Raw genomic sequence first — 19,150 nt, 5'->3', positions numbered from 1 at the left:
GCTGGAGTGCAGTGGCACAACCTCGGCTCCCTGCAACTTTCACCTCGGGGTTCAAACAAATTCTCCTGCCTCAGCCTCCCAAGTAGCTGGGACTACCGGCACCAGTCTGTATGTCCGACTAACTTGTAAAAATAGTAGAGACAAGGTTTCACCATGTTGGCCAGGCTGGTCTCGAACTCCTGACTTCGAGTGATCCACCCACCTCGGCCTCCCAAAGTGCTGGGATTACAGGCACGAGCTACTGCGCCCAGATGCCAAGCTAGAGTTTTAAGGCAGGAAATGAGAGAAAGATATTGAGAGAGGAAAACCAGGTGGTAAGAAAACTCTAAAGGTGGCCGGGCGTGGTGGCTCACGCCCATGATCCCAGCAGGAGTTTGAGACCAGCCTGGCCAACGTGGTGAAACCCTGTCTCTACTAAAAATACAAAAATTAGGCAGGTGTGGTGGTGCAAGCCTATAATCCCAGCTATTTGGGAGGCTGAGGCAGGAGAATCACTAGCAGAGATTGTGTCTCCTCACCCCCTCTCAAAAAAAAAAAAGAAAGTTCCTGCAGCAGTTAAAGCTGTGAAAGACAGGCACTCTGCCATGCAATTCTTTGTGATTTTTCTTTTTTATTTTTGGAGTTGGGGTCTTGTGCTGTCACCCAGACTGGGGTGCAGTGGTGTGGTCATAGCTCACTGCGGCCTCAGACTCAAGCTCAAGCGATCCTCTTACCTTGCCTTTCAAATTGCTGGGATTATAAGCATGAGCCACTGCATCTGGCCTGTGTGACACAATTCTGTTTTTTTGTCTTTTTTTTTTTTTGGGATGGAGTCTCGCTCTGTCACCCAGGCTGGAGTGTGGTGGTGCGATCTTGGCTCACTGCAAGCTCCGCCTCCTGGGTTCACGCCATTCTCCTGCCTCAGACTCCTGAGTAGCTGGGACTACAGGCGCCCGTCACCATGCCCAGCTAATTTTTTGTATTTTTAGTAGAGACGGGGTTTCACTGTGTTAGCCAGGATGGTCTCAATCTCCTGACCTCGTGATCTGCCCGCCTCGGCCTCCCAAAGTGCTAGGATTACAGGCGTGAGCCACCGCGCCCAGCCTGTGTGATGCAATTCTGATGTCAACTCCCTGATGTTACCTCAAATGCCACAGGTTAAGGCCACCAGCCCCCACTAGGCTGCCCTCGCTTTAGACACAGCTGCAGGCTTGGGTGTCCTCAGACCACATGTACTTCTCACCAACCGGCTGCAAATTTGGAGGTTCCCACCATGCCCTCAAGTTCGATAACTCACTAAAACAATTCACAGAATGCAGAAAAGCATGATACTTTCTTTCTTTCTTTCTTTCTTTTTTTTTTCTGAGACGGAGTCTTGCTCTGTTGCCCAGGCTGGAGTACAGTGGCCACCATGCTTGGCTAATTTTTGTATTTGTATAAGAGACGGGGTTTCGCCATGTTGGCCAGGCTGGTCTAGAACTCCTGACCTCAGGTGATCCGCCTGCCTTGGCATCCCAAAGTGCTGGGATTATAGGCATAGCCACCATGCCCAGTCGACTTCTAGAGTTTCAATAACAGAGATGTGATTCAAGAAGAAAAGGGAGACATGTTTTGTAGACGGCAGGAGCTTCATGAAAAGACGCCAATGAAGGGCAAGGATGTGTAGCTGTCTACCTACGGGAAACCAGCCAGGAGCCTCCCTGCAGGGACTTCAGCACAGAAGGCCGGGAAAATCTGCATTAACCTGAGCTCTGGACCTAAGACAGGACAAGGACTTGACCGTTTCTACAGACTCCCAAGATGCAATCTCTGCAGTCCATGCCCGTGGTGTGATCTGGGAAACAGGGGGCCTTCTAAATGCCAACAGCAAGGAAATCAAATGTGCAACAGACAGAAATACCGGCATTGACGTGGGCCATGGAAAGGCCTAAACAGATGACTGCAGTCCACTGCCAAGGTCATCAAAGAGGTGACTCTGAAATAATAAATTTCAGATGCCATGGCCCAAATAGCTGCACGAGGTGGGGAAGTCCTCTACATGCCTCTGCTTCCTTCAGTACCTCTTCATGAAATAAGCCGAGGTACTTCCCTGGGGAATTTACTTTCTCTTTCTTTCTTTCGAGACGGAGTCTTGCTCTGTCACCCAGGCTAGAGTGCAGTGGCGTGATCTCACCTCACTGCAACCTCTCCCTCCCGGGTTTTAGCAATTCTCCTGCATCAGACTTCTGAGTAGCTGAGATTACAGGTGTGTGCCACCATGCCCAGCTAATATTTGTATTTTTAGTAGAGACAGGGTTTCACCATCTAGGCCAGGCTGGTCTTGAACTCCTGACCTCATGATCCACCCGTCTTGGCCTCCCAAAGTGCTGGGATTACAGGTGTGAGCCATCACGCCCGGACTTCTTTATTTTTCGAGATGATGTTTCGCTCTTGTTGCCCACGCTGGAGTGCAATGGCACGATCTCAGCTCACTGCCACCTCCTCCTCCCAGGTTCAAACGATTATCGTGCCTCAGCCTCTCGAGTAGCTGAGATTATAGGTGCATACCACTATGCCTGGCTAATTTTTTGTATTTTTAGTGGAGACAGGGTTTCACCATGTTGGCCAGGATGGTCTCGATCTCCCGACCTCTTGATCTGCCTGCCTTGGCCTCCCAAAGTGGTGGGATTACAGGTGTTACAGGCATGAGCCACCACGCCTGGCCTTTTTTTTTTTTTTTAATAGAGAAAGGGTGTCACTCTGTCACCCAGGCTGGAGTGCAGTGGCGCGATCATAGCTCACTGAAGCCTCCAATTCCTGGGCTCAAGCAATCCTCCCACCTCAGCCTCCTGAGTAACTGGGACTGCAGGTGAACACCACCACGCCCAGCTAACTTTTGTAGGCTTTTGTAGAGATGGGGGCCTTGTTATGTTGCCCAGGCTGGTCTTGGCCTCCCAAAAGAGCTGAGATTCCAGGCATGAGCCACTGCACCTGGCCCATATTTCTAGTATTACCATAGAACATGGTATTGTGGTTTACTGCTGTAAATATTTGCTTCCCTTCCCCAACCCAGATGTGAGTCCCTGAGTCAGGGACGGTGTCATCACCACTTTTTTTTTTCTTTCAGTGCCAGATTTGTCACTCAGGCCCTCTGCAAAGCCATCATAACTATCTGCCCAAGAACAAATGTAGGAATTATTTCCTTTGGCAAACTCCCAAAATAACAGATTTCTAACTACCCTAATTATCCTCCATTCCCTCCTATTCAGCCAGTTCTCAGAGCTCTAATATCTCATGAATACTTTGTAATGGGCTCATTTATAAAATCATTTGCTTTTTTAATAAGTCAGAGGTAACTTGCCATGTCTCTCACTAATGGTCTCTTTCAAAATGCCTTGGCACCTCCTTTGGTTTTGAAAGGCCCTAAATGGTTTTCTGAGTTTGAGCAGGATTGATTTATCCTTTTAAGGTATACTAATCTGCCACGAGAACATTTTGGAATGAGTCATAATATCTATATCACAGCTTTCTTCCAGCGGATTCAAATTATTTTTGTATCTTTGATATTTTTGTCTGTGATGTGATGTCAGCAGACCAGGGCCCCCCTTTCAGATGTCTAAGGCTCCCCGGGATCTGCAGTAGTGTAGCTTATTTTTATTTTTATTTTTATTTTTTTGAGACAGGGTCTCACTCTGTCACCCAGGCCGGAGTGCAGTGGTGTGATCTCACCTCATTGCAACCTCCGCCTCCTGATTCAAGTGATTTTCTTGCCTCAGCCTCCTGAGTGGCTGGGATTACAGGGGTGCACCACCATACCTGGCTATTTATTTATTTATTTTTTGAGATGGAGTCTCACTCTGTTGCCCAAGCTGGAGTGGAGTGGTGCAATCTTGGCTCATTGCAGCCTTTGGCTCCCAGGTTGCAGCAATTCTCCTGCCTCAGCCTCCCAGGTAGCTGGGTTTATAGGCACTCACCACCACACCCAGCTAATTTTTGTATTTGTAGTAGAGACGAGGTTTTGCCATGTTGGCCAGGCTGGTCTCGAACTCCTGACCTCAGGTGAGCCTCCTGCCTCGGCCTCCCAAAGGGCTGGGATTACAGGTGTGAGCCACTGTGCCCGGCCTGCAGTAGTGTAGTTTAGATAATTTGTCCCAAATATTCACTGCCCCTCTCTGGACTAATCACTTGTGCCATCCCTGCTGCCTCCCCTAGAATGTGGTGTACTTTCTTCTCATCCCATTGGTATAAGGGATGGCTTTTTGACTTGCCAATGGCCAATGGCACGTGAGGCGACATGACAGACATCATAACCCAGCAAAAGTTATTTTTTAAAATTTTTTTTTTTTGAGATGGAGTCTCACTCTGTCGCCCAGGCTGGAGTGCAGTGGTGCAATCTCGGATCACTGCAAGCTCTGGCCTTCCGGGTTCACGCTATTCTCCTGCCTCAGCCTCCTGAGTAGCTGGGACTACAGGCGCCCACCACCACGCCCGGCTAATTTTTTGTATTTTTAGTAGAGATGGGGTTTCACTGTGTTAGCCAGGATGGTCTCGATCTCCTGACCTGGTGATCCACCCGCCTCGGCCTCCCAAAGTGCTGGGACTACAGGCGTGAGCCACTGTGCCCATCTATTTTTAAAATTTTTTAAAGACAAGGTCTCACTCTGTCACCCAGGCTGGAGTGCCATGGCACAATCATGGTTAACTGCAACCTCCAACTCCTGGGCTCAAGCAATCCTCCTGCCTCCAGCCTTCCAAGAAGCTGGGACTACAGGTGCACGCCACTACCTCTGGCTAATTTATGTTTTATTTTATATATTTTTTGTAGACATGGGGTCTTGTTTTGTTAACCCAGGCTGGCCTTGAACTCCTGGCCTCAAATGATCCTCCCACCTGGGCCTCCCAAAGTGTTGGGATTACAGGAATCAGCCACGGCACCTGGCCAGCCCCCAGCATTCTGATGAATCACGTGTGCTCTGAGGTTGTTAAATTAAAACCAGTGCAAACAGTCCACGTCTCTGCCAGGGGCTGGCATCTCTCATTCTTCCCTTCTTACATGGAAGTCTTGGTTTTGGTTATTGTTTTTGTTTCACTAAAGAGATATACCTGGATATTTTAAAAGAGAAGATTCAGGCCAGGTGTGATGGCTCGCGTCTGTAATCCCAGCGCTTTGGGAGTCCGAGGCAGGTGGATCACCTGAGGTCGGGAGTTTGAGACCAGCCTGGCCAACATGGTGAAACCCCGTCTCTACTAAAAATACAAAAATTAGCTGGGCGTGGTGGTGGGCACCTGTAATCCCAGCTACTCAGGAGGCTGAGGCAGGAGAGTCGCTTGAACCCAGGAGGTGCAGGTTGCTGTGAGCCGAGATCGTGTCACTGCACTTCAGCCTGGGCAACAGAGTGAGACTTCCTCTCAAAAACAAATAAATAAGAAAGAAGTTTCAATCCTGGGCTGTGGAAATCAACGGCCTTATAACTTTCCATGCTTGCACCTGATTCTGATGGTTGAAGTGACTTGTGCCTGTGCCATTGCACACATACCCTATTCTTGCAAGCTTGGCTTTGAGGCACCACAGGAGGGACTCCGTGACATGGGCCTGCAGCTGGGGAGAGAAGCCAGAAGCAGACCCAAGGCTGGCCCCCAGGAGTCTGCAGGCATGGCAGTGCCAGAGCTTGGCCACTCCCCAGCATCTGAGCAGGCCCCACGAGGCAGGGGGCACACACAGCTGAGGACGGAAGCCTCAGAGGACAGAGGCCTGGATGTTGTGCACTGAGGGTCATGCATTTTCAGCCAGACTCTCACCAGCAGCTGGAGCAGGAGGAGAGGGTTGGAAAACAAATCCCAAAGAAAGTGGGTGCCTGGGCCAGGCGCGGTGGCTTACGCCTGTATTCCCAGCACTTTGGGAGGCTGAGGCAGGCAGATCATCTGAGGTCAGGAGTTTGAGACCAGCTTGGCCAACACGGTGAAACCCCATCTCTACTAAGAATACAAAAATTAGCTGGGGGTGATGGCAGGTGCCTGTAATCCCAACTACTTGGGAGGCTGAGGCAGGAATAATTGCTTGAACCTGGGAGGCGGAGGTTGCAGTGAGCCAAGATCGCACAACTGCACTCCAGCCTGGGAAACAGAGGGAGACTCTGCCTCAAAAAAAAAAAAAAGAAATAAAGAAAGAAAGAAAAGGGGAAATGGGTGCCAGGAGGTAGGCAGGGGAGGTCCCATTCTAGCAGGCAGGGCTGAACTTCCATCGCACCTGCCTGGAGTACTCTTCTGCAAGGCAGAATTCTCAGCCTGGTGCAGTGGCTCACATCTGTAATCTCAGTGGAAGGCCAAGGAGGAAGGATTACTTGAGCTCAGGAATTTGAGACCATACTGGGCAACATAGTGAGACCCCATCTCCTAAAAGAAAGAAATAATAAGCCAAGCATGGTGGCACTTTCTTGTGGTCCAAGCTACTAGGGAGGATGCAGTGGGAGGGTCACTTGTGTTTGGGAGGTTGAGGCTTCAGTGAGCCATGATCGTGCTGCTGCACTCCAGCCTGGGTGACAGAGCAAGATTCCATCTCAAAAAGAAACAAAAAACAAACAAACAAAAAACCTTCAAAACACATACAAGTCAAACTTGCATGGCAGATTTGCACTGAACTGTCATGCTAGGCAATGCTGACGGGAGAGTCCTTTGACTGAGCTTTAGGGGGCACCCGAGAAGCCCACGCACAGAGGTGTTGGTACAACATGCCTATTCCAGCCTCGCCGGTGGCCAGCCAGCTCGCTGCCCCAGCTGTCATGAGGTCCTTGTGGACCGTGGGAGGAGAAGCCCCCAGCCTAGGAGGGCCCTTCCACGGCCACCCTTAGATTTGGGCAGCCACTCACTTCTCTCTCTGATTCTGGAAACTTCCTCTGATGGTTTCACTCTCTCAGGCTGATAAAATGTTCCATGTTTGTTCAGGTACAAATGGAAATTAGATGGAATAACATGCCCTAGAATTAGTTCATGTTTTTCTGATTTGAGTCCCGACAGCCTCTGAATCTCATCGTCTCATCATTGCCACAGAACAAAATGTGAAAACATTAATGAGGGATTTGGTCTCTTTCCTTTCTGCACAGAAACCGAAGCACATCCTTGAGAGAGAGTCTCCTCTATTTTGTCATAAATAGATGGATTCTATAAATTAATTGAAAGGCATTGAGTTATTTCTAAAGGAAAACCAAGAGAATTGTGTTCCTTTTTATGATCAACTTTGCTTTTCTTTTTTTTTTTGGAGACAGTCTCGCTCTGTCATCCAAGTTGGAGTGCAGTGACTCCATCTGGGCTCACTGCAACCTCCACCTCCTGGGTTCAATCGGTTCTCCTGCCTCAGCCTCCTGAGTAGCTGGGATTATAGGCATGTGCCACCACGCCCGGCTAATTTTTGTATTTTTAGTAGAGATGGGGTTTTGCAATGTTGGCCAGGGTGATCTTGAACTCCTGACCTCAAGTGATCCTCCTCCTGCCTCTGCCTCCCAAAGTGCTGGGATTACAGGCGTGAGCCACCATGCCCGGCCTATCATCAATTTCAATCCATTTCCTCTTGTCTGTTTCTCCGGGGGAAGGTGTCATTCAAGATTCATAGCAATCATGGAGGTTTGACCATCCTGAGATGTGCAGGATGCTTTTCTTATCAATCTGAGTGAATATTCCTATCTGTCTTCTATGTAGAACAGGGGCCTGGGTTGGGTATCGGATGGTGGTTTGCTTAGTTTCTCATGATAAACTTGGAAAGAGTGTCCTGCTGTACTTTCACCTGGGGTAGGGGTAGCAACTTCTGTCGTAGGCTCAGCAGGCGCCTGGGCCTGGTTGAGGGGCAGCTACATCTTTTCCAAAACAACTTCCCATGTTTCTAATGGAAGGCAGTGCAGTGAGGGTTGATAATATCTGAATTTTCTGAAATGGTTTGGAGTGAGGTATTCAGCACATTGAGTAGGGTCATGCATCACTTAACAACTGGATTATGTTCTGAGAAATGGGTCGTTAGGTGATTTCATCATTGTGCAAACATCACAGGGTGTACTTACACAAACATAGATCATATGTATGGCACACTACACACCCAGGCTGCTTGGTACAGCCTCCTGCTCCTAGGCTACAAACCTGTACAGCATGTTACTGTACTGAACACTGGAAGCAATTGTACACAATGGTAAATATTTGTGTATTTAAACATATCTAAACATAGAAAATGTTGTCCAGGCATGGTGGCTCACGCCTGTAATCCCAACACTTTGGGAGGCAAGGTGGGTGGATCACTTGAGGTCAGGAATTTGAGACCAGCCTGACCAACATGGTGAAACCCCGTGTCTACTAAAAATACAAAATTAGCCGGGTGTGGTGGTGCACGCCTCTAGTCTCAGCTACTCAGGAGGCTGAGGCAGGAGAATCACTTGGACTGGGGAGGCGGAGGTTGCAGTGAGCTGAGATCACACCATTGCATACCAGCCTGGGCAATAAGAGCAAAACTGTCTCAAAAAACAAAAACCAAACCAAACCAAACCAAACCAAACCAAACCAAACCAAACCAAACCAAACCAAAACAAACAAAACAAAAAACAAAACGTAGAAAATGTCCAGTAAAAATTTGGTATAAAAGATTAAAATGGGCCAGGCATGGTGGCTCATGCTTGTAATCCCAGCACTTTGAGATACCCAGGAGTTTGAGACCAGCCTAGGCAACACAGTGAGACCTTGTTTCTACAAAAAAAATTTAAAAAAATTAGCTGGGCGTGTTTGTGCATACCTGTAGTCCCAGCTACTGAGGAGGCCGAGGTGGGAGGGTCACTTGAACCTGGGAGGCTGAGGCTGCAGTGAGCCATGATTATGCCACTGTACTCAGCCTGGGTGACAGAGTGAGACCTGCTCTCAAAAAAGAAAGAAAGAAAAAAAGATTAAAATGGTACACCTGTCTAGGGCACTTGCCATGAATGGAGCTTGCAGGACTGGAAGTTTCTCTGGTGAATCAGTGATTGTCTCCCAAAGGCCCACTATCATATTAGGGAATAGGTTTACAAGATACATTCCTTCCGTCCTAATAGCCCCAAAAGTCTTATAGGTTGATGCAAAAATAATTGCAGATTTTGCTATTATTTTCAATGGCAAAAACCTCAATTACTTTTGCACCAACCTAATAACTCATTCTAGCATCAACTCAAATGTCTGAAGTCTAAAATCTCATCTCTCCTCTAAATCAGATATGGGGCCGGGTGCAGTGGCTCATGCCTGTAATCCCAGCACTCTGGGAGGCCGAGGCAAGTGGATCACCTAAGGTTAGGGGATCGAGACCAGCCGGGCCAACATGGTAAAACCCCGTCTCTACTAAAAATACAAAAATTAGCCAGGTGTGGTGGTGCACACCTGTAATCCCAGCTACTCAGGAGGCTGAGGCAGGAGAATCACTTGAACCCGGAAGGCAGAGGTTGCAGTGAGCTGAGATCGTACCACTGCACTCCAGCCTGGGTGACAGAGCAAGACTCCATCTCAAAAAAAAAAAAAAATCTGATATGGATGAGGCTCAAGGGAGGATTAATTCAGAGGCAAATTCTCCTTCCTCCATGTGAGTAGCCACACGCACACAAACGTGTAGAGGTTTTAAGTAGAAAAGTAAAGACTTCAATGGCTTGAAAAGATTTTCAAAATCCCAGAAACACCCAACCAGTGTTTCAATTATTTCTAAAGAATCCTAACCGGATGGTTGTCCAGTTCATAACTGAATACTTCTAGTGATGAGGACCTTACCACACTCAGGGGAGCACACCTTTACAGAGATGAAATCACTGAAGATTTGAAATAAATCTTTTCCAGTAGTTTCCATCGTTGCTAGGCAATGAATGGGCTTGTTTCCTGATGTGCAGAGTGGCCAATACCATGGGACAAGCTTTTGAGGAAAGAAAAGCAAGTCGACTGGTAAGGGCATAGGAAGAAATGTTCAGATCTGTCTCCCTGAGCTGAGAGCTGGGATAGGTTTTATAAGCGTAGGGTAGTGAGGTGTGATCAGATTGGATCTTGAAATGAGGTGATAAGGTGATACCGGGAGGTGTGCTCTGACTGGATCCTGCCATGGGGTGATGCCAAGGATTCATCTGATTGGATCCTGACATGTGATGTCCATTTCTTAATTCAGTCCTCATTCCTTGGGCCAGACACTTAGGTTCTGCTCATGGTTGCACAGTTGGTTCGTCTGGGCATGCTCAGATTATGTGACCTTTAACCCGGAGGTACATGGCAACGGAAAACTCTCCATTTTATTACACAAAGTTGAATTGAATTGGGCTGTTTTGGTGGTTATGGCATGTCCTGGTCCTGGTATGGGGAGCATAGAGTCAGTTAAAACTGCTTACTGAGCTTCTGTTCCCTCTTCTCCAAACCCATATACCAGTTGTTTCCATCATTATCTGTGTGACAAAGGCTCAAATCCCTTGGATTTCTGGCACATTCTGCTTATCAGGTCTAAGGCAAAACCAGGAGCCTAGGTTTTCTGAGCAGGTCTGTCACTCCCTCCACTTTGAGAACATGATGGGCAGCCTATTTGGAAGCCACAGAACTCTGCACCAATCAAGCAACAACTTCTCTCATGTCTCAATGCAGAAAGAAGCCACTTGCTAATAGCCAAGTGGCTTGCTGAGTACTTCAGACTCCAGGAGAGGACCCCAGACTTTGGACTGAGAACTTTGTTGTTGTTACCAATGAATTTATTGAGATATAACTGGCCTATAATCAATTGCACATATTTAAAATGCAAAGTGATACATCTGACATATGTATACACTGGTGAAACTATCACCCTAATCAAGATAGTGGACAGGTGCATCACCCCCACCAGTGAAATTTCTTTGTGTTCCTTTATAATTCCTCCTTTCATTCCCCCTCCCCTGCCCTATCCAGTGATCTGCTTTCTTTCACTAAAGATTAGTTTGCATTTTCTGGAGTTTTACATAAATGGAATCAATCATACAGTATGTACTCTTGTTTTTTTTGTTTGTTTGTTTTGCCAGGGGGTAGGGGGCCTGGCTTCTTCAACAAATGATGCTGGAACAATTGGATATTTATATGCAGAGGTGGTGAGGGAAAGAGAGAACGAGAAAGGAAAGTGGAGTTTGATCCATACCTAGCCCTATATGTAAAAATTAATTCAAAATGGATCAGAGACCTAAATATAAAACCCCAAACTATAAAACCTCTAAGAGAAAACAAGGAGAAAAACCTCTGTGTCCTTGAGTTAGACAAAGATTTCTTAAATACAATACTAGAGGCAAAATACTACAGGTATTTTGTAGATACTCTTGGTCAGGTTGAGGAAGTTTCCTTCTAGGCCTAATTTGCTGTGACTTTTTATCAAGAATAGACGTTAGAATTGTTCACATGCTTTTCTGCATCTGTTGGGATAATGGTATGTTTTCTCTTTTTTAGTCTGTAAATATGGTAATTTCCACTGATTGGCTTTCAAATGCTAAACCAGCCCTGCATTCCTGGGCTAAACTTCACTTGGTCATGATATATCCTTTTTATATCACACAATTTTCTAAACTTTGTTAAAAATTTTTGCATCTATATTCATGAGAAATACTGAGCTGTGTTTTATTTTCTTTTAGTGTCTTCATCTAATTTTGGTATTAAAGTAATGCTGAATTCATAGAATGAGTTGACAATTATTCCCTCTTGTTAAATTTTCTGGTTGAGATTGAGTAGAATTGATTTTATTTCTTCATTAAATTTCTGTAGAATTCAACAGAAAAGCCACCTGGGCCTAGCAGTTTCTTTGTGTAAAGTTTTTGAACTACAAATTTAATTTTTTTGATATAAACAGTTTAGGTTCTCAATTTTTCCTGAGTGAGCTTTTTGATTTTCAAGGAATTTGTCCGTTTGATCTAGGTGATTGCATTTATAAGCATGAAGTTGTTAATATTTCTTTATTACCTTTGTAATATCTGTTGAATATGTAGTAATATAACCTCACTTATTTCTGATACCTTCTCCTCATGACTTCAGTCCCTCTAATTTATTGTGATGGGTTTTTATGGCCCATAATATGGTCTATCTCGACAAATGTTCTCTGTGCCCCTGAAAATAATATGCAGTCTGCTATTGTTGGATGATGTGGTCTACAAATGCCAATCAGATTAAATTAATATTGTTCAACTCTACTATGTCTTTGTTGATTTTCTGTCTACTTATTCTATCAGTTACTAAGAGAAAGGGCATGGAATTTTCTGACTGTAATTGTGGATTTGCTGATTTCTCTTTGTGATCTGTCAGTTTTTGCTCATGTATTTTAAAGCTCTATGATTAGGTATATTCTCATTTAAGAATTGCTGTGTTGACCGGGTGCAGTGGCTCACACCTGTAATTGTAGCATTTTGGGAGGCTGAGGCAGGTGGATCACAAGGTCAGGAGTTTGAGACCAGCCTGGCCAATGTGGTGAAACCCCGTCTCTACTAAAAATACAAAAATAAGCTGGGCATGGTAACATGCGCCTGTAGTCTCAGCTACTTGGGAGGCTGAGGCAGAAGAATCGCTTGAACCCAGGAGGTGGAGGTTGCAGTGAGCCGAGATTGCGCCACTGCACTCCAGAGTGAGACTCTGTCTCAAAAAAAAAAAAAAAAAAAAAAAAAAAGAATTGCTATGTCCTCTTGCTTAATTGATCTTTTTATCATAATGAGACCTTCTTGGTAATCTTCGCTCTGAAATCTACTTTGCCAATATTAATAGAGCCATTTTAGATTTTTTTTTTGCTACTGTTATATGATACAACATTTTCAAATTGCTTATTATAAAAAGTATATCTCTTCATTTATTCATATTTAAGTACAATTTAATAGCAGCATATCATTAGGTCTTGTTTTTTTTTGTTTTTTTTTTTTTAGGTTTTGATTTCTTTTTAACCAGTCTAACTACTTCTGCCTTTTGAGATATTTAGAGCAATTTACTTTTTTTTTTTTTTTTTTTTTTTGAGATGTAGTCTTGCTCTGTGGCTCAGGCTAGAGTACAGTGGTGCAATCTTGGCTCACTGCAAACTTTGCCTTCCTGGTTCAAGCTATTCTCCCACCTCAGCCACCTGAGTAGCTGGGATTACAGGCGTGCACAACCACACCCAGCTAATTTTTGTATTTTTAGTAAAGACAGGATTTCACCATGTTTCCCAGGCTGGTCCTGGACTCCTGACCTCAAGTGATCTGCCCGCCTTGGCCTCCCAAAATGCTGGAATTACAGGCCTGAGCCAGCAAACCTGGCTTAGAGCAATTTACATTTAATGTGATAATTTAGTTAGGTTTATATCTATACTATTGCTATGTGTTGTCTATCTGTCTTATCCACTCTTTGTTCCTTTATTTTTTTTTTTCATTTTTTCTGCCTTCTTTTGGCCTAATGAGTATTTTTGAATAATCCTATTTCAGCCTCCTTCATTGACTCATTAGCTCTAAAACTTTAAAAAAGTTCTAGTGGTTGCTTCAGGGTTTATTGAATACATCAAGTGACATTATACAACTTCACATAGAGGATAAGAACCTTTCAATAGTGTACTTTCATTTCTCCTCCCTCAACTTTGATGTGATTGCTGCCCTATATTTTACTTTTACATATGCTATAAACTTCACAATACATTGTTTTCAGGTGTTTTTTTGTTTTTGGTTTTGTTTTTTTGAGACAGTTTCACTCTGTCGCCCAGGCTGGAGTGCAGTGATAAGATCTCGGTTCATAGCAAGCTCTGCCTCCTGGGTTCAAGCAATTCTGCTGCCTCAGCCTCCCAAGTAGCTGGGACTACAGGCGCCTGCCACCATGCCTGGCTAATTTTTTTGTATTTTTAGTAGAGATGGGGTTTCACCGTGTTAGCCAGGATGGTCTCAATCTCCTGACCTCGTGATCTGCCCGCCTCGGCCTCCCAAAGTGCTGGGATTACAGGCGTGAGCCACCGCGCCTGGCCTCGTGTTTGTTTTTTTGAGATGGAGTTTCGCTCTGTCACCCAGGCTGGAGTGCAATGGTGCAATCTCGGCTCACTGCAACCTCTGCCTCCCGGGTTCGAGCAATTCTCCTGCCTCAGCCTCCCAGGTAGCTGGGATTACAGGCACACACCACCACACCCGGCTAATTTTTGTACTTTTAGTAGAGATGGGGTTTCACCATGTTTGCCAGGTTGATCTCAATCTCCTGACCTCAGGTGATCCACCTGCCTTGGCCACCCAAACTACTGGGATTACAAGCATGAGCCACCATGCCCGGCCTCTTAGCTTTTTAAAATTCTTTTTTTTAATCTGTGTGTTTTATTTTGGATAATTTCTCTTGCTAAATCTTCAAGTATATGTATTGCTCTTTTCTTCTGCCGTGTTTAATCTGCCATTAATCTCATCCATTGTATTTTTCATCTTAAACATTGTAGTTTTTATCTCTAGAGTCTTAACAAAATATCTCCCATGTCTCTACTTAACATTTTGAACTTAAAGAATATAGGCCGGGCATGGTGGCTCATGTCTGTAATCCCAGCACTTTGGGAGGCTCAGGCAGGTGGATCACTTGAGGCCAGGAGTTCAAGACCAGCCTGGGTAACGGGGCAAGACTGCGTGTCTACAAAATAATACAAAAAATAACCAGGCATGGTGGCATGTACCTGTAGTCCCACTGTAGTCCCTTATGGGGGTGAGGTGGGAGGATTGCTTGAGCCCAGGGAGGTGGAGGTTGCAGTGAGCCACGATCACGCCACTGCACTCCAGCCTGGGTAACAGAGTGAGACCCTGTCTCAAAAAAAGGAAAAAAGGAAAAAATGCCAGGCGTGGTGGCTCTTGTCTGTAATCTCAGCACTTTGGGAGACCGAAGTAGGTGGATCACTTGGGACCAGGAGTTTGAGACCAGCCTGGCCAACATGGCAAAACCCCTTCTCTTCTGAAAATAGAAAAAATTAACTGGGTGTGGTGGGGTGCCTGTAGTCCCAGCTATTTAGGAGGCTGAGGCAGGAGAATTGCTTGAATCTGAGAAGTGGAGGCTGCAGGGAGCTGAGATCGTGCCACTGCACTCCAGCCTGGGAGACAGAGCAAGAGTCTGTCTCAGAAACAGCAACAACAACAACAACAACAACAACAACAATAAAAAGAATATAATTATAATAAATATTTTAAAGTCCCCATCTGCTAATTTGAATATATTTGTCAGTTCTGGGTCATTTTCAATTGACTGGCTTTTCTTCTCATGATGGGTTCTGTTTTCCTGCTTCTTTGCAAGCTTTCTATTCTTTGATTGGCTGCAAGACATTGTACATTTTATCTTATTGAATGCCGGGTTTGTTTTTTTTGAGACGGTGTCTTGCTCTGTTGCCCAGGCTGGAGTGCAGTGGCACGATCTCGGCTCACTGTAAGCTCCGCCTCCCAGGTTCACGCCATTCTCCTGCCTCAGCCTCCCGAGTAGCTGGGACTACAGGCCCCCGCCACCACGCCCGGCTAATTTTTTGTATTTTTAGTAGAGACGGGGTTTCACCGTGTTAGCCAGGATGGTCTCGATCTCCTGACCTCATGATCCACCCGCCTGGGCCTCCCAAAGTGCTGGGATTACAAGCGTGAGCCACCGTGCCCGGCCTAAATGCCGGATTTTTTGTAATCCTATATTCATGACATTTCTTGTGGAATACAGCTAAGTAACTTGGAAACATTTTGATCCTTGCTTTTATGATTTGTTAGGTGGGGCTGGACACAGTGGCTCACACCTGTAATCCTAGTACTTTGGGAGGCCAAGGTGGGTGGATTGCTTGAGGTCAGGAGTTTGAGACCAGCCTGGGAAACATGGCAAAACCCCATCTCTACTAAAAATACTAAAATTAGGCCAGACGCAGTGGCTCATGCCTGTAATCCCAGCACTTTGGAAGGCTAAGGCAGGCGGGTCACCTGAAGTCAGGAGTTTGAGACCAACCAGGCCAACATGGTGAAACCCTGTCTCTACTAAAAATACAAAAATTAGCCAGGCGTGGTGACGGGCCCCTGTAGTCCCAGCTACTCAGGAAGCTGAGGCAGGAGAATTGCTTGAACCGGGTAGGTGGAGATTGCAGTGAGCCGAGATCACGCCATTGCACCCCAGCCTGGGCGACAGAGCAAGACTCTGTCTCTAAATAAATTAAAATAATAATAACAAATAAGAAAAAGAATACAGGTGGGCAGCCAAAGTTAGTTGTAGGCTCTCAGGATATCTCACTGAATCCAGGGGCTGATTTGCTACGAGACAGAGGAAGGTGCTGAACCTGGCTCAGGAGAGAGCTGGAAACTCAGGTAACAGACCCCAGAGTCCTCTTTTTCTCCACGTGCAGAATGTGTTCTTTCTCTTGGCATCTGTATCCTTGTAGAGAAGCATGGCTGCCCCACAACTCCTGGAGTCACAGAAGACAGGTTCAGCCATCTGCGAAAATCCATGATTATTGTTCTGTCCATATTCTAAACTCCTTAGACAATTGTATCTTCTTAGCAAAGGTTATTCGTTTTATGTGGTTGCATAAGTGTCTGTCTGTCTGTCTCTCTCTTTCTTCCCCCTTGTGTTGAGAGACAGAGATTCTAGAGAAGAAATGGAAGAATCGTGGGCTGGGCAGATACCCTAAAATGTGCCTGCTGCATACCAACTTTACACAACTAGTAAGGTTTAAATTCCTGTCTTTCCAACTCTGTTACAAATAGACTCTGGACTGGTCAGCCGCAGTGGCTCACACCTGCAATCGTAGCACTTTGGGAGGCTGAGGCGGGCAGATCACTTGAGGTCAGGAGTTCGAGACCAGCCTGTGCAACAGGGCGAAACACGGTCTCTACTAAACACACAAAAATTAGCCGGGCGTGGTGGCAGGCACCTGTAATCCCAGCTACTCAGGAGGCTAAGGCGGGAGAATCACTTGAACCCGGGAGGCAGAGGTTGCAGTGAGCAGAGCAGGTTGCAGTGAGCAGAGCAGGTTCCCGAGTAGCTGGAATTACAGGCATGCGCCACCATGCCCAGCTAATTTTGTATTTTTGGTAGAGACAGGGTTTCTCCATGTTGGTCAGGCTGGTCTCGAACTCCTGACCTCAGGTGATCCGCCCGCCTTGGCCTCCCAACTTGCTGGGATTACAGGCCTGAGCCACCGCCTGGCCTCAAAGCTTCTTTTGTTAAAAGGTTTGGGCTAATTTTTAGTAACTTTTACGGTCTCATTTAATTTTTTCCCGCTTCTTTTCTTTTTTTAAAAATAATTATTTTTAAATTTTTTTTTTTTAATTGAGACCGAGTCTTGCTTTGTTACCGAGGCTGGAGTGCAGTGATAAAATCTTGGCTCACTCCAACCTCCACCTCTCAGGTTCAAGCGATTCTCTTGCCTCAGCCTCCCAAGTAGCTGGGATTACAGGCGCCTGCCAGCACGCCTGGCTAATTTTTGTATTTTTAGTAGAGACGACATTTCACCATGTTGGCAAGGCTGGTCTCGAACTCCTGACCTCAAGTGATATGCCTGCCTCAGCCTCCCAAGTGCTGAGATCACAGGCATGAGCCACCGCACCCAGCGCTTTCCTTTTCTCTTTATGTGACTTGCTAAACCACTTGACAAAGAAGCTGAGGTTATTAGGTTTTTCTTTTCACAAATAAGGTGAATGAATCATAAGCCCATGTCTGCTGCTTTATTTACTGAATTAGTGTTCTAAAAATAAAACAGCACTCTTTAAGTCCAACATTTATACCTAAATTCTGGGCCCTGAAATGTAATTGTGCACCTGGGCCCGTATTTAACTTCAAATTCTCCATCTGTGTAAGATGCATAATACCAGGTCTACTATGCAGACAGTTACGGTAAGTCAGATGATGTCTGAAAAACACTTGAGACACACAGTTGCCATGTTCTGTGTACTGACGGAAAGTATGAAATTAGCAAAACATGCAGGGAATATTCAGCTGTATTCATTACTGTGTTTGGGCAAAATACGGTAAAGAAATTGCTCAGCATAGTTTCTCTGAAGATGTTTGGGTATACTTAGCATGCTTTGCAAACCTTGGAATTGAATTTAATTTTTACTTAGAGAATTAAGCATCTAATTATTGCCACAAAAAATAGTAGATTAAGGCCGTGCACAGTGGCTCACGCCTGTAATCCTAGCACTTTGGGAGGCTGAGGGGGGTGGATCACCTGGGTTCAAGGGTTCGAGACCAGCGTGGCCACTGTGGTGAAACCCCGTCTCTACTAAAAAAAAAAAAAAAAAAATTAGCCGGGCATGGCAGGGGGCGCCTGTAATCTCAGCTACTTGGGAGGCTGAGGCAGGAGAATCGCTTGAACCCAGGAGGCGGAGATTGCAGTGAGGAGAGATCGTCCCACTGCACTCCAGCCTGGGCAACAGAGCGAGACTCTGTCTCAAACAAACAAACAAAATAGTAGATTAAGTTTGGGCAACATAGCAAGACCCTGTCCCTATAAAAAATTAAAATAATTAGCTAGGCGTGGTGGCACAAGCCTGTAGTTCCAGCAACTCTGGAGGCTGAGGCAGGAGGATTGATTGAACCTAAGAGTTCTAGGCTGCAGAGAGCTATGATTGCGCCACTGCACTCTGTTACAGATGTATACATGTACTGAGTCATGATGGAAAATGGATTGATTTAGAAATGTTTGGGGATGATGGCTTGCTCATTTGCCCTTCTATGGTTCACTATAGCCTAGGCTATTTGGAGAAAAGCAAAACATTTGAAAGCTGAAACATTCAAAACATTCAAAGATTCAAAGCTGAAATCTGCGATCCATGCCATGAAACTCAAGGACAAAAAAAAATGCGGCAGTTATTTTAGTGGCACGAAGTCCTGGGGCTGCTGGATCCCAGCCTAGGAGGAGAGGGACATGAAGAAAAGTAAGGGCCAGCACATTTTGACTGTTCTGGGGAAAAGGAACTGCAGCAAGAAGTAACTGCTCTGCTCAAAACATTCCTATTCTCTCTCTCTCGTCTCACTCTGTCGCTCAGGCTGGAGTGCAGTGGTGCGATCTCGGCTCACTGCAACCTGTGCCTCCTGGGTTCATGTGATTCTCCTGCCTCAGTCTCCCTAGTAGCTGGGATTACAGGTACCTACCACCACTCCCAGCTAATTTTTTGTATTTTTAGTAGAGAAGGGATTTCACCGTTTTGGCCAGGCTGGCCTCGAACTCCTGACCTTGGGTGATCCGCCTGCCTCAGCCTTCGAAAATGCTGGGATTATAGGCATGAGC

Source organism: Homo sapiens, chromosome 7, assembly GCF_000001405.40.
Source record: "Homo sapiens chromosome 7, GRCh38.p14 Primary Assembly".
Classification (NCBI taxonomy): domain Eukaryota; kingdom Metazoa; phylum Chordata; class Mammalia; order Primates; family Hominidae; genus Homo; species Homo sapiens.
Note: the sequence above shows the minus strand (reverse complement) of the source record.